Source organism: Homo sapiens, chromosome 10 (genome assembly GCF_000001405.40).
Source record: "Homo sapiens chromosome 10, GRCh38.p14 Primary Assembly".
NCBI classification, from domain to species: Eukaryota; Metazoa; Chordata; class Mammalia; order Primates; family Hominidae; genus Homo; species Homo sapiens.
The window spans coordinates 5,759,240-5,775,450 of NC_000010.11; the positions used below are offsets into that span (position 1 = coordinate 5,759,240).

Below are 16,211 nucleotides of genomic sequence, written 5' to 3' on the forward strand. Positions count from 1 at the left end.
ATTCTATTTAAGCCCTACTACTACAAACTTTAAAAAATATATGGAACTTGTACCATTAATGCTTTTTTGGATACTTATAAGTTGCCACCACTTTAAGGAGAATGGAAAAATTAAGACCATAATCTATCCTTAATTCAGTTGTACCCTAAAAGAAGAGGCTTATAAATACGCAAACTTCACTAAGTCTAAAGCTGTAATTTATAAAAGAAAAAAATACATGTTTGATTCCTTGGCTGAAGAGAGCTGGGGCTGAGAGATTCCTCCACATTCTCACAAGCAGGACCAATTGGAAAAGCAGACCTGACAAGCCCTTGTGAAATAAGGATTTCAGGCACTGTTAGGTGCATCCATTTTCATTCAGACTTCATCCCCAGGAGCTAGATAGCAAATCCTCACTTTTATAATGCAGAACTGAAGCAGAGTAGATAACAAACATGACCAAGGTCAAACAAGTAGTAAGTTATGAAGCTGGGTTTCAATCCCAGAAAGACGAAACGACTGTTAGCTGTATGTGACCTTTGAGGAACAGAATCTCAGAAAGCTTTTCTCTTGAAGTGGAGCTAGCAAAGGAGAGAAGGAGCACAGAGGTTTCCTTGGCAGGAAAGGAGGGTGCAAAGGCTTCAGCAGGTCAAGGGTATGACCATTCACAGCGGACTTCAGTAACCAGCACTTGAGGGGAAAAACGTCAACTTCGGTAAGTAGAGAAGCACATTTAAGGTTCTGATGTACCACAGCACACCTATAAAATAAGCATAAATCAATCTAGCACTTCTAGGGCTTTGGGTAGAGAAAGTCATGTCACTTAACGACGGGGATACAGCCTGAGAAACGTCATAAGACGATTTTGTCTATGTGCAGACATAGAGTGTACTTACACAAACTGATATGGTAGAGCCTACTCCTAGATTGCAAACCTGTACATGTGACTGTACTGAATACTGTAGGCAGATTTAATGCAATGGTGGTATCTGTGTGTCTAAACACAAAAAAGGTTCAGTAAATTACAGTAGTATAATTTTATGGGACCACCATTGTATATGTGGTCCGTCATTGACTGAAACATCATTATGTGGTACATGCCCGTACTCACTGCTGTTGGCGCTGCAGTATGCTCTTCATATTATACCACTCTGGCATTATGTAACAGGCGTTATGTATTATTGAGAACTCATTAGAAAACTCTTCATATCCTTTGACCTTTTGTGGAATTTACCCAAAATTCTAGGTGGTTATCAGTCATTGCAAAACCAACCTCAGTTCCATCTCTAGGAGGGAGATATGCAGACTACAGTTAAATATTTTAAAGTTTATACAAAATAATGCCCACCCAAAACTTACACAATAGAAGCATGTAAAAAGTTTCTATTCATAGAAAGAGGGATGGCATAAAAGTTGGTATCATGTAACTATGTTCAGTATGATGTCATAAAAAATTTATACAGGAAAAAGTGAAAGGAAATTAATTCATGATGTTAAGAGTGATTATCACTAGGGTTATGGGAATGGGTGTGATTTGGGTTTTCTCCAACAAGCATGAGAATGTAAGTGATGAAAACTAGAGAGACGGGAGTCGAGCAGAGACAGAAATGCTAAAAATTTAAACATACTGAGTTAACACATTTTCCTAGTAGTGATAGAATTTTCAGGGAAGCAAGAAACCAAGAAAATTCTGGCTGCTACCTAATTTTAATGAAGTTGGCGATTATCTGCCCACAAGGTATGAGAAGTATAGATGTGCATTGCTCTACAAATATACAACGCAATAAGGCCCACTCGAAATTCATGAAAGGCTTGCCAAGCCACATGGCTTGATTGGTCGTAGGTAGATGCATGATGTCCCTCTTAGAATGAGGCCCATGTTTAAAATCCACATTTACAAAAGGAGTAGGTACAATTGTGATGTTTTGAGGTAACCAAAGTGTGTCATGAAAAAGAACGTCAAGAAGAAAGGCAGAGGAACTCATGAGTTTGAATGGTTAAACTGAAGGCAAGAAAAAGTCCTAAGAATAAAACTGAAAAATATTTTAATATGCCTATGTATCTTTCACAGAGTGGATTCAACTGCACATAAGAAGAACATAATGTTGAAGTCATTTCAGAGTGCAAATATCATTGAATTGCTTCATTATCACCAGTGTGACTCTCGATCATCAACAAAAGCAGAAATTCTGAAATGTTTGCTAAACCTGCAAATTCAGCATATTGATGCCAGGTTTGCTGTCCTCCTAACAGGTAATTCACAGGCGCATTTTACTCAGTTAATGCCAAAATTGGTCAGCTCTAGGAATGTCAAAGTTAGATACCTGATGAAGAGTATCAGGTATCTAAATGGCTTGGCATCCCATGGATACCAGAATCACCCAAATCTGCTGAAGCTGAAGCCCTTATATAAAATGTAGTATTTGCAGGTAACTACACAATCCTCCTATGTATGTAAGTCAGTTCTAGATTACTTATAATACTCAATACAGTATAAGTAGTTATACCGTATTATTTTTTAAATCAATACTGGGGCTGGGTGCAGTGGCTCACACCTGTAATCCCAGCACTTTGGGAGGCCGAGGCGGGCGGATCACTTGAGGTCAGGAGTTAGAGACCAGCCTAGCCAACATGGTGAAACCCCATCTCTACTAAAAATACAAAAATTAGTCAGGTGTGGTGGTTCATGCCAGTAGTCCCAGCTACTTGGGAGGCCGAGGCAGGAGAATGGCTTGAACCCCGGAGGCAGAGGTTGCTTTTAAAAAATTTGTGGGGCAGCCAGGGACAGTGGCTCACGCCTGTAATGCCAGCACTTTGGGAGGCTGAAGCAGGTGGATCACTGAGCCCAGGAATTTGAGGCCAGCCTGGGCAACTTAGCGAGACCTCATCTCTACAGAAGTTGGCAGGTGTGGTGATGTGTGCCTATAGTCCTAGCTACTTGGGTTAAGGCAGAAGGATTGCTCGAGGCTGCAGTGAGCCGTCATCACACCACTGCACTGTAACCTGGGTGGCAGAACAAGACCCTATCTATCTTTAAAAAAAAAAAAAAAAAAGTGTTAAGAAAAATTTACGTAAAGAACCATAGTTATCATTTTTCAGGGATTTTTTTTCAGTACTTTAACCACCACCCCCGATGGAGGCATCTATTTCCAAAGCTTCAAATCTTTTCTTAATTTGGAACCCAACACCTTTTCTCCCCCTACCCCTCACACGAGGAAGTTCCACAGATTTTTTAAAATAAAAAACCAGGTCCTGTTATATAAAAGTACATTAATTATATTAACCAAAAGTTGTTTTTTTTTTTTTTTAACAGACAAGCCTACTATCCCCAGAGAAGTCTTTGAAAATAGTGGAATCCTTGTTACAGATGTAAATAACTTTATAGAAAACATAGAAAAAATAGCAGCTCCATTTAGGAGTAGCTATTGGTAAGAACACTTTTTATGTAACTTTCCCATGTGAGTTGGAGTTGTTGATGGCAAATATTGACATTTGTGTCTAAGGGAAACAGTTGGGAAACTGTTGTTTACATACTTCATGCTATAAATTTAAAGTGTTTGTTTAGGGGTGGAATTGCTATTTGGCATAAATAGGAATTCCTAAATTATCACTAAATGAAGTAACCATCTACTAAAATTACCTATTTTATCTAATGTGCATTTTCACTTGCTGTTAACTTGGATCGTCAGTACAGAACATAATGTAACCTTAGAATGCATAGGCGTTTTCCCCATTAGAGCATCCCGCTTATAAAATATTTCTTGTTCGTATTATTTTAAGAAGTTCTTTATCAATTTTGTGTTTCTTCAGGTGACTCAACTACAGCCTGCCTGGATATGGATGATGCCAATAAAAAATTAGTATTTTCCCTTTGGAAAACTTGTGAACATGTGAATACACATGTGAACAGTCTTACATTTGAAAAACCAATGTTCTACAACTTGGAAAGTTTTCATTTTTTATATTTTGCTGAAATATGTCACAGTGGCATTGCAGTTGTCTGTTAGCTTTGGGTTGCAGTGCTAGATATTGTTTTAAATTATTTTCATTTTAAACAAGATGCCTTCTAAGCTATTGAGCTTATTAAAAATAATTTTACATGTTTACTTAGTTGGAGCAAAAATAAGTCTATTTTAACAAATAGCTTTGTTTTTGCATGCTAATGTCAGAAAGGCATACGATGCACATTATGCTCTGTTTTAAAGGTTTTACCACCCTTGTAAAAACTATAATCTTAAATGGTTTTATTTGCTGTTACACAAACAACACTACATAAAACATTTTTTCCTAAATGGTACAAATTTATAAACTATCATTTTTCACTTACGGTATTTGTAAATACTACACTACAAAAATCAGCTTTCTGAGAAAGAAATAATCATTTATTTATGATATTGAAAATTTCTACAGTAAACACTCAAAACCAAGCAAAAAACATTTGTAAGATACACGGTATCTATTTGGAGCAACGGTTTTTGTAACTAATGTGTTTCATTTTTTAAATAAAGACAACTAAAAATAATCTCTTTCTGCAATGATTTTTATAGCAGAAATTGACTTATCTGGAGTGTTCTAGCAATTTTTAGGTCATTTAGCAGAACAGTAAGCTTCCAGAGGAAACCTACACTTCTATCCTTTGGGCCTGGCCTGTTCTGTTTCTGGGTTCTTTCCGCAGTCAAGTACACCGAGTAACAGGTTAAAGAATGGCAGTTTCACCTGGCCTTTACAGGGACACTTACTTCTTTCAGAAGTCATTAAGTCGGCTTTTATTATTCCTAAACAAAAGAGCTTTATTTTCTCATGAGTAGGTTTTAGAGTTTTAATTGTTGACAATTTTTCAGTTACTAATAGAACCCCAGTCATTTCATTTTATTTTTCCAAGGACAAGAGTCTATTAAGGGAACCATTAACTATTCAGTACAGTGAATTACTTTCAGATTACTAAGGAAAAGGAAAGTGAGCAGTTATAAGATGCCAAACACCTATCTATCTGCCTGAAATATGCACCTTTCAGGTTGGACCTAATAACATTCACCTCCCCTTGCTGAAAAGCCTTCCAACACCCACGAGGCCATCTCAGTTTCCATGCTACCTTTTCTGTAACTCTACTAATAACCAAACCACATCATGTGTTCACCAAACTGAGTTATCCCAGTAACTACCATTATCATCTTTGTCTCCACTGGCCTGGCACACAAGGTATTCAGTAAATACGTTGAATGAAGAATATGAAGATGCGTGGTTTTTCTTTTTTCACTTATTACTAACCCAGCTTGGGCCTTTGCATGGGAAGAGAAAAAGGCTTGCTGGGACTTCAGATAATTTTATCATACAGGTAAAGCAGTGGTTCTCAACATCTGGAGACATTTTTGGTTGTCATTCCAAGATGGTGCTGTTGCCATCTAGTGTGTGGAGGCCAGGGATGCTGCTACAATCAACCCTATCAACAGAGAATGATCCAGCCCAAAACATCAACTGAAGTCGAGAAGCTCCATCATTTTGGCAATATGAATAACAATCTAAATCACCACCCTAGTTCCTTTAACACATCATCTACCTTAGTCTGTCTCCTTCATACTCTGAAGAGTCAGTGTTTATCTGTGGTAAACAACAGCATCTGCCGTGAGGCTCATCACTGTCAGGGGAAAGGGCCTTATATGTAAACACTTTATCATTTCAACTACACAAAAATTATTTACTAAAGCACCTACTCTACCTGACAGTTCACTTACTCCCTTATAACTGCTGCTACAAGCAAAATCATTAAACACTATTTTTTCTGCACAAAGATGATAGGTCTAGTAATGGTACTGTGTCAAGAATAAAACTCGAGGTCTACTCACAGGGAAGCCAGACGACAGGACCTGCTGTGATCCTTCCAGATCAGAAGACACCCACGCTTTCCGCTGCTGAGCATTCTGACTGGCATTGACTCCAGTGCTACCAAAGGAAGCACGGCAGCTGTGACCCTTGCAATCAGGACACACAAACCAACACCGGGCAGTAGTTTCCAGAATTTGGCTTTATTTTGCAGTACAGAAATCATTTGGAGCCATTTTGAGACAGAAGTAGAGGCTCTGTCAAGTCAATACTGCATTGCAGCTTGGTCCACTGAAGAAGCCACGCCTGAGATACAAAAGATGCACTACACTTGACCCGCTTTATGTTCGCTTCCTCTCCCCTTCTCTCTCATCAACTTTATTAGGTTAAAACACCACATACAGGCTTTCTCCAAATGACTCCCTATGTCTGGGGTTTGGTTAGAATTTTATGCCCACATAAACCAAACTTGTGGCTATGCTATTTGGGCCCTGCCATAACATTTGACATAATACAAAATATAAAGTCATAGGGAAAACTTCCGGATGCTGTCCCAAACCGTGGAATATTCAATTTAGAATCTCCTGAACCTCAAGAGGACAGATGACACACAACCTGTATGGATCCAGCTCTTGAGCAGCAGCAGCACATAGCTACACTGATTAAAAGATTAAAAAAACTGTCTCAAGTTGTCTGTGTCGGTATCCCAATGTTTGTTTAACTTCACTAGAAAAAAAAAAAGCCAGTTTGGTTAAATTGAACAGAATGTGGTAACTGCCAATGCTGAATAGCCACTCCATGAAAACAAGTTAATAATTAGAAAGGTGAAGGGGAGTATTTACTGGCACAGCGCTCTTCATTCTCTCCATTTTCATTACAAAAGCAGGCCTTACAATATTGATTTCATTATATGCATTATTTGCCAAATTTTAAATGTGTCCTAATTACATAATAACATGTACTGCTGTTAGTCTTCCCCATAGATGTCATTCTTCTTGCGCTTCATTTCCTCAAAGTCAAACTCTGATCCTGTCATCCTCTTATAGATGTTTTTAATGTCATCACACGTTGTCTCAAAATGAGTGGTGGCATCATATGTGCGGGAAATAAAGATCTGAAAACAAAAATTACGAAGACTTAAGACCATGGAGGGATGTCTTCCAGTGAAACCTGCCCATATCCTTTCACACTTCCATACTCACCTGGCTTTCTGTTCCCAAGTCTTTTGGTACCAGGAGGTCACTGATGCTAACAAATCTGGAGGGAGAGAGAATTCAGTCAGGTGAGCTGGTCCCACACCTGACCATGGCTCTGCCTGAGGTCAACTGAGAGGTACAGATGAATCCCACAGAGCAGCCAGCAGCTACCTGCCTTGCCCTCACATTCGTCCCACCATGGAGCCACAATCAAAGGCCTCAGTTTGCATCTCGGCAGATATAAAAGAACACAACTCACTTCTGTTCAATTGGTTCCAAGAGCTCCAAAGCTGGTCTGATTTCCTTCTCAGGCTCCTTGGTTTCCACAGTTGTACTAACTATAGCAATGTACTTCCCTTGTGCTGCTACATTGTGCGCAAAGGAGATCATGCAGACGTAGATATCTAGAAACAAATGATACCAGCTCACTGCCTCAAGTGTCTCCATCTGGGACCCAACATACTCAGGTATCACCCATATGTCATGAGGTGTGAGTTAAAATTACTCTCAATAGGCAAGATCTTCTACACTTAAGTTCTAAATGGTGACAGAGTTGGATGTAAAGTACACAGATATTTAACAATAGGAATTTCTTTTAACCTACTAGAGATTAAGAATTGAAGTGGTAGCGAACTGCTGAAGTTTGGAATGAGATCTCTTAACAGCTCTGTCATACCTAACTAAAAAACCTGCCAAACCATATTAACTATTCTGGGAGATTCTTCCATTCTGGACCTTGCATTTAGAAAGGTTCTGAATGGCTAAGAAAGGATGTACTTAGTACTGACGTCCTCATTTACTTATTACAGTAATGTAAAACTGCAGAATCCACATAAACCACTTTTGAGTTGGCATAACGATAGAATTCTCGATTAGACTTGGTCTGTATACCACTCATCCAGTTAACTGTGTCATTTCCAGGATAGAAAATCATTTGGATAGGAGAGCATTTAAAGGCCAAAAAAAAAAAACTCTGGGACCTCCTTTATTCTTTTCAGACTTGCAAGGACCCAGGACCCGCCTGGGAACCTTGTGGAAGATTAAGTCCAGTCCCTTTGTTCTACAGATCATCTTTTGTGATTGGTTTTTTTTTGTGTTTTAACAGTCTGGCTCTGTCACCCAGGTTGGAGACAGGGATGCAATCACAGCTTACAGTAACCTCAAACTCCTGAGCTCAAGTGATCCTCTCCCACCGCAGCCTCCCAAGTAGCTAGGACTACAGGTGTGTGCCACCACACCTAGCCATTTTTGTTTGTTTGTTTTTTGTTTTTGTAGAGACGAGCTCTCACTATGTTACCCAGGCTGGTCTTGAACCCCTGGCCTCAAGCAAGCCTCCTGCCTTGGCCTCCCATGATTTCATTTCTTATATGGGGGAAAAAAAATCATTATACAGATAGCTCTTACCTGTCCCATAAAGCCTGATTACCCTTTTTAAGCTGAATTTTAGATAAATAAAAAGATTTGGGGCTTCTAGTTGAAAGGAAAATGGGAACATCGAAGGGTTACAAACAACTGGCTAAGACAAATAAGTTAGGACTTGCAATTTTAGAGCCATGTCCTGATCACAGAAATGAAAGGTGGACACTGCTAGAATCAAATGTAGGTACTAGGATTACAAATAAGGACACAGAAGCAGCTATGTCATTAGCTCAAGAATATACTCGGGTCAGTTAACTATTAAGCATAAACCTCCACAGGAACCTACTGTTAGTTAGAGCTGGGAGACGCAGGGTTCACCAAGCCCAGTCTGTTCATTCTACAGGTGATGGACACAAGTCCAAGGCTGGCTCCGAGTTGAATCTGTCCGCGTTGACACAATGCTGCCGGAGCAGGAGGAGGTACAAAGATTTTTTTCCCCCATATGTAAACCAAGGTCTGTTCACTAATACAGCATACAAAATTAGGAATTTGGGATAAAACACAAAGCAAATTATATCTTACAAAATTCTACCAACATCTGCTGGTCTTCAAACCTCACCTGACTTTCGATTGACTTGGTTCTGTGGAATAATGATCTGGCAGGAGTTGGCATCATTGGTGTTCTTGATGGGGTGGCTGAGGATGCAAATAACTCTGATCACCTGGCCCACTTTTTCTACCCGATCTTTTACGTAGCTGGGGTCACAGATGAGCTGCTTACAGCGAGCAATCTATAACAAAGCATTTAAGAAGACACTGAAGCGGACAAGGATATAGGGAAACACATCCCATGTTCATAGTTTGGAAGACTTAGTATTGTTAAGATATCAAAAACCATCCTCAAGTTCATATTGGTTCCCAAGGGATTGAATTCTGGAACAACCAAAACAATCTTAAAAGAAGAACAGCAAAGCTGGAGGACTCACTCACTAAAAAGCTACAGTGATCAATTCAGTGTGGTACTGGCATAATGACAAACGTATGGACCAATGAAACGAGGAGAGAGCCAGAAATAAACCCTCGCATCCACAGTACAGTGATTTTTGACAAAGTTGCAAAGACCATTCAATGAGGGGAAAAAAAGTCATTTCAACAAACCGTCCTGGGAAAACTATCCACATGCAAAAGAATGAAGTTGGACCCTACCTGACACCATCCACAAAAACTAAAAATGGAACAAAGACCTAAATGTGGTATCTAAAACTATAAAACTCTTAGGAGAAAACAGTGCAAAAGCTTCATGACATTGGAGTTGGCAGTAATTCCTTGTATCTAAAACCAAAGACACAGGCAACAAAGGAAAGAATTCATGAAAACAGGATTTCATGAAAATTTTAAAAATCTTGTGCATAGCCAGGCATGGTGGCATGTGCCTGTAACCCCAGCTACTTGGGAGGCTGAGGCAGGAGAATTGCTTGAGCCCAAGACTTTGAGTCCAGCTTGGGCAACACACAGCAAGACACTGTCTCTTTTAAAAAAACAATAAAGAAATTTTTGCATCAGAAGACACTAATCAAGAGTTGAGGCAACTCACAGAATGAGAGAAAATATCTGCAAATAAGGGATTAATATCCACAATACATCAAGAACTCCTAAAACAACAACAAAAAAAACCCTGATTCAAAAATGATCAAAGGGCTGGGCGCGGTGGCTCACGTCTGTAATCCCAGCACTTCGGGAGGCCAAGACAGGCGGATCACCAGAGGTCAGGAGTTGGAGACCAGCCTGACCAACATGGAGATACCTCGTCTCTACTAAAAATACAAAATTAGCTGGGCACGGTGGCGCATGCCTGTAGTCCCAGCTACTCGGGAGGCTGAGGCAGGAGAATCGCTTGAATCTGGGAGATGGAGGTTATGGTAAGCCGAGATCACGCCATTGCACTCCAGGCTGGGCAATGAGCAAAACTCCGTCTCAAAAGAAAAAAAAAAAAAAAATCGAAGGACTTGAATAGACATTTTTCCAAAGAAGATATGTAAGTGGCCAATAAGCACATGCAAAGATGTTCAACATCACTAATCATAACTTCAGTGAGCTACTACCTCACAACCGTTAAGATTGCTACTATCAAAACAAAATTAAGTGTCAAGGATATGGAGAAACTGGAACTTCTTGTCCACTACTGACAGGAATGTAAAATGGTCCAGCCACTATGGAAAATGGTATGGCAGTTTCTCAAACATTAAAAACAGAATTACCATATGATCTAGCAATTCCACTTCTGGGTACACACCCAAAAGAACTAAACGCATGGTCTTGATGAGACATTTGTACACCCATTTTCAGAGTAGCATTATTCACAATACATTCACAAAAACATGGAAGCAATCCAGGTATCGATGAATGGATAAGCAAACTATGGTCTATCTTTCCATACATTGGAATATTATTCAGCCTTAAAAAGGAAATTCTGACACATGCTACAACACAGATGAACCATGGACATCATGCTAAGTGAAATAAACTAGTCACAAGAAGGCAAATACTATATTATTCCGTTTATATAAAATATAGTAGTTAAAATCATAGAGAAAGAAAGTAGAATGGTGCTTGCCAGTGGCTGGAAGCAGAGAACGAGGAGTTATTACTTAATTGGTAGTTTCCTTTAGAAGAGGAAAAGTGAGTGTGGGCACAGTGGCTCACACCTATAAAATCCCAGCACTTTGGGAGGCCAAGGTGGGTGGATCATTTGAGGTTAGGAGTTCAAGACCAGCCTGGCCAACATGGGGAAACCCTGTCTCTACTAAAAATACAAAAACTAGCCGGGCGTGGTGGTATGCATCTATAATCCCAGCTACCTGGGGAGGCTGAGGCAGGAGAATCACTTGAATACGGGAGGCAGAGATTGCAGTGAGCCAAGATCATGCCACTGCACTCCAGCTTGGGCGACAGAGTGAGACTCCATCTCAAAAAAAAAGAAGAGGAAAAGTGTTATGGAGATGAATGGTGGTTGTGGTGGTTGTATAATGATGTGAATATATTTAATACCACTGAACTGTACACTTAACAATGGTTAAGATGGTAAATTCTGGCCGGGCGCAGTGGCTGACGCCTGTAATCCCAGCACTTTGGGAGGCCGAGGCAGGCAGATCACCTGAGGTCAGGAGTTTGAGACCAGCCTGGCCAACCTGGTGAAACCCCATCTCTACTAAAAATACAAAAATTAGCTGGGTGTGGTGGTGGGCACCTGTAATCCCAGCTACTCAGGAGGTTGAGGCAGGAGAATTGCTTGAACCTAGGAGGCAGAGGTTGCAGTGAGCCAAGATCACGCCACTGCACTCCAGCCTGGGCAACAAAGTGAGACTGTCTCAAAAAAAAAAAAAAAAAAAAAAAAGATGGTAAATTTTATGGGTACTTTATCACAAAAAAAAAAAATGGAGGGAAAAAGACTAATATTCAGTGTCTATAATGTTTTAAACAGTATATTAATGTAATTTTCCCTTGAATATAATCTGTTATCTTCATAATCTAATGAATATAAAAGTCAAGGTAATTATTAAACTGTCGGTAACTACTGAAACTAGCTTTGCCAATTATCCCTACTATTTTCTCCTTGAACAGATATATGAACTGTAAATCCTGTTCAAATACTAGGAAAACTGTGTTGCACAGTATTCAGAAGTATAAGTTTTAGAATTGGGCAGATCAGGGTTCAAATCCTGGCTCTACCTAACCTCAAAGGATTGTTGTTAGTACTAAAATTCAGCCACGTCCAGCCCCTTGAATGCAAGGACATTTTTGCTTATTTGTGGTGGCAGACATCACGAAATTATGCACAGACCCTTTTTCCAGCTATCATTACTGTTAGCATATTTTATGTGTGACCCAAGACAATTCTTCCTCTTCCAATGTGGCACAGGGAAGCCAAAAGGTTGGACATTAGTGAACTAAATGAAATGGTGTAAAAAAGTCTGTCATTATAGGTGGGTGTCCTGACAAAAAATAAATGCTCAGTAAATGTACTCTACATAGACTAAAATCCTTATCATCTTAAGGCTATGCTTCCTAAGAAAAACTTGAATTGCAAGATAAATGTATTATAGCCTCCTTCCCTTTCATATCAAAGCCCTGAAGTTTCAGAAACACAAAGAATGAAACAAAAGAAAAATACAGAATAAAAGTAACTTTCAGAAGACAGATTAAAACATTTATCCCTGGCCGAGCGCGGTGGCTCACACCTGTAATCCCAGCACTTTGGGAGGCCGAGGCAGGCAGATCACGAGGTCAAGAAACCAAGACCAGCCTGGCCAACATGGTGAAACCCCATCTCTACTAAAAATACAAAAATTAGCTGGGCATGGTGGCACATGCCTGTAGTCCCAGCTACTTGGGAGGCTGAGGCAGGAGAATCACTTGAACCCGGAAGGCAGAAGTTGCAGTAACCAAGATCGTGCCACTGCACTCCAGCCTGGTGACTGAGAAGAAAAAAAAAAACACACCATTTATCTCTATCTCCTAAACAACTATTATGCTGAAAGTACAAGCAGTGTTACTGTCCCTGATGAAGATCTTCCAGTGGAACACGATGTGGAGATGGAAGACAGTGATACTGATGACCCCAACCCCACAAAGGTGGCTGAGTGAAGTTTGTTGGACCTGGATGGTAAACAGTGCTATTTGTGCTGATATACCTGAGAATTAAGTTAGCATTAACAAAACCTAGTAATGTACATGTCAAACAAAATATGACTTCTTTTGTGCTTTGTAACTTCATTTAAAGCAGATAAGCCAATCACACTACGACAGTCAAGATGAAACAGGGTTATAAAGAAGTTGCCTAAAATATATGTTCAAAAGACCCAATTAAGTAACAGTCTAGAAGGCCAGGCACAGTGGCTCATGCCTGTAATCCCAACACTTTGGGAGGCTGAGGCGGGCGGATCACTTGGGGCCGGGAGTTCGAGACCAGCCTGGCCAACATGGTGAAACCCCATCTCTACTAAAAATACATAAATTAGCCAGGCATGGTGGCATGCATCTGTAATTCCAGCTACTCGGGAGGCTGAGGTAGGAGAATCACTTGAACCTGGAAGGTGGAGGGTGAAGTGAGCTGAGATCACGCCACTGCACTCCAGCCTCGGCGACAGAGCAAAACGATTTGATGTCTCAAATAAATAAATAAATAAATAACATTTTAGTAGATAAAACACACAAATCTAACATCACCCAGCACAGGAATTTACATCCTCAGGTGTATAACGACTGAGGGCTGTGGGTGCGGAACACCTTAATTCCAATTCTACCTCAGCCATTCATTAAACTGTGTGCCCTTGTAGATGTTTCTTCATTTAAGCCTCCAGGTATAACCTGGACATAATACCCGCCTCTTAGGATCCTTGTAAGGAATAAATGAGTTTGAAAATGTGCTTCACAAATTATTATCAGGCGTTTTTTGCCCCAAGTCAGTCCTGTATTTTCTCTCCCTTACTCATTGTCCCCTTACACCACCTACCAAACTCTGATCTCAAACTTTCCAGTGAGACCTAAATAACTGAAGATGCCCCCCACCCCACCACCCAGGAGGTTGCTACATTCCCACACAGCTTAATGTTAAAAAGATAAAGCTTAGATTTTTAGAATTCCAGTGAGACAGTAAAGCAGTGCACTTTGAAGTGCATCCTCTACTGCAAGAACTGTTGCAGATAGTAACAGTGTCAAATGGCAGAAGAATTAATTCATATGGTGATAAAGGGAAACGATCTTTTTTTCCTTGTGATTTTTTTTTTCAGTAGCATCCACATCACCTAAGAGGTTTCAAGAAAATGCAGAGCCTTCTCAGACCTACTGATTAGAACATGCACTAGAACCAGATTAATGATGCTTTATATATAATTCACATTTGAGAAATGCTGCTCAAAACCCCACCCGTGTAGGTGGCCTGCAAGTACAGTTCAATTTCAATGAAAATTTGGGAGACAGGCACAACCCAAACTCTATAAATACAGAATACTTACTATTTAGAGCTCACCCATAATGCATATTTCAATATTAAAATAATCAACAACTGACAACAAAAAAGATGCTTTTAAAACAAAGCACAGCAACTGTAATTAGTCCTTAGTCACAATAAATACTAACTTCCCATACAGAAATCATATGCATCAGTGTCCACACCAAAATCAATATTTAGAATACACAACTTTCTTCACAAGAACATAGTAATTTTTTTCATTTTAAAAGCTACTTACTTCTCCTTCAGATTTTACACCAATTACTTTTCCATTCTGTACAATGATTTCTTCAATGGGTTTATTCAGCATATAGGTACCTCCATAAATAGCACTTAGCCTGGAAAATTTTTAAAATCCCAATTAATAATATATAGTTGTTTCAACTCCTAAAGTCCCCTTTCTTAGATCTTAATGAGTTACAGACAATATACATTTGTTCAATTTCCTTCTAGAAAGATGTCAGCTTAGAAGTGATTAAAGCAAGAAAACAGAGTCAAAAACACAAACATAATCAGTTATAAATACGAAGTCAAAAAAAATCACTAACCAGGCACTTGTCTTTCGAGCTGCCCACTCGGCCCTCCTCCAAGTGTACTTTCTTTCCTTCCTTTCATTCCTGCCCTAAAGCTTTTCAATAAACGTCCACTCCTGCTCTAAAACTTGCCTCAGTCTCTCCTTCTACCTTATGCCCCTTGGTCATTCTTTCTTCTGAGGAGAAAAGAACTGAGGTTGCTGCAGACCCGTACGGATTCATCTCAGCACGGTAACATATTTTGGTGCCTGTGACTCGGCTACCTTCCACCAGCAACACATTTGGTGCTGTGTGACTCGGATACATTCCCTAGTAGTAAGAGACCTCTACACCTCATTTTCTTTGGCTGGAGGCGTTCAACCCCCATACACGGTTTTCTTCTCCCCTTTCCACTCTCCCGCTTGCTAACCAATCACCGGAACAGTTCCTCTCGGCCGCAGCGGCTCTGCATCCATAGCTTATCCCTCCTCGCTCACCCTGATGGATGGCTCTTCGGGGTCCACACTGAGCAGACCTGAGACACTAATGGCCCTCCTGGACAGGAGGCTCGTGAGTGTGGTGAGGCTAAAGCCTAAAGCCATGCGATGTCTGGGTTTTACTCTGCTTCTTCAACTAAAATCGGCTCTTTCCCAAAACCCCACACTGTCTATTCTCCTGTTTTTCCTTGTGTGTGTGTTCTAAAATGGCCTTGTGCAGTCGCGGGACTATCCACATCAGAGGCAAATCTGCCATTTCTCTGGATTCACACCCAGGGGAAGGGGAAGGGCAAGGGCAAGGGCAAGGCCAAGGGAAGGGTTGACCAGTAATAGCTATATTAGTCTAATCCTCTGGCATATAAATAAAACTATGGACTTAAAACACTATCAGAAGGAACTGAAGGCAGTGGTTCACGCCTAATGCCACCACTTTGGGAAGCCGAGGCCAGCAGATGGCTTGAACGCAGGAGTTTAAGACCAGCCTTGGCAACATGCTGAAACCCTGTTTCTACAACAAATAGAAAAATTAACCAGGCATGGTGGCACTCATCTGTAGTCCCAGCTACCCGGAATGCTGAAGTGGCAGCATCACTTGAGCCTGAGAGGTCGAGGCTGCAGTAAGTCGTGATCACACCACTGCACTCCAGCCCGGGTAACAAAGCAAAATGCTGTCTCAAAAAAAGATAGTAATAAAGTGGGGGGAAAGGCAGCACTGGAGAATGACTTAAAGCAGCAAAAACCAGAGACTGAAGAAACTCTTGAAAGGAACCAAGTGGGTGAGAGCTTTATGTAGTTTATATGGTTTTCCCCTCAGGCAGCAACTTCCCTAGTCCTTGCA

At 40.4% G+C, this 16,211-nt stretch overlaps 2 protein-coding genes across 7 annotated transcripts in view; one reads left to right on the forward strand and one right to left on the reverse strand.

Annotated features, from left to right (window-relative positions):
* TASOR2 (transcription activation suppressor family member 2) overlaps positions 1-4,501 on the forward strand; it is a 78,903-nt gene extending 74,402 nt beyond the window's left edge. For all 5 annotated transcript variants that reach the window (NM_001321783.2, NM_001321785.2, NM_001321784.2 and 2 more), the window contains 3 exons: positions 2,051-2,232; positions 3,293-3,407; positions 3,790-4,501. In NM_001321783.2, coding sequence (NP_001308712.2) covers positions 2,051-2,232; positions 3,293-3,407; positions 3,790-3,793 — 301 coding nt within the window. In that variant the 3' untranslated portion in view covers positions 3,794-4,501. The remainder of the gene's footprint in view (positions 1-2,050; positions 2,233-3,292; positions 3,408-3,789) is intronic.
* GDI2 (GDP dissociation inhibitor 2) overlaps positions 5,984-16,211 on the reverse strand; it is a 48,212-nt gene continuing 37,984 nt past the window's right edge. For both annotated transcript variants that reach the window (NM_001115156.2, NM_001494.4), the window contains 5 exons: positions 14,603-14,702; positions 8,974-9,145; positions 7,255-7,399; positions 7,002-7,056; positions 5,984-6,913 (listed from right to left, as the gene is read on the reverse strand). In NM_001115156.2, the coding sequence (NP_001108628.1) occupies positions 6,767-6,913; positions 7,002-7,056; positions 7,255-7,399; positions 8,974-9,145; positions 14,603-14,702 (619 nt within the window). In that variant the 3' untranslated portion in view covers positions 5,984-6,766. The remainder of the gene's footprint in view (positions 6,914-7,001; positions 7,057-7,254; positions 7,400-8,973; positions 9,146-14,602; positions 14,703-16,211) is intronic.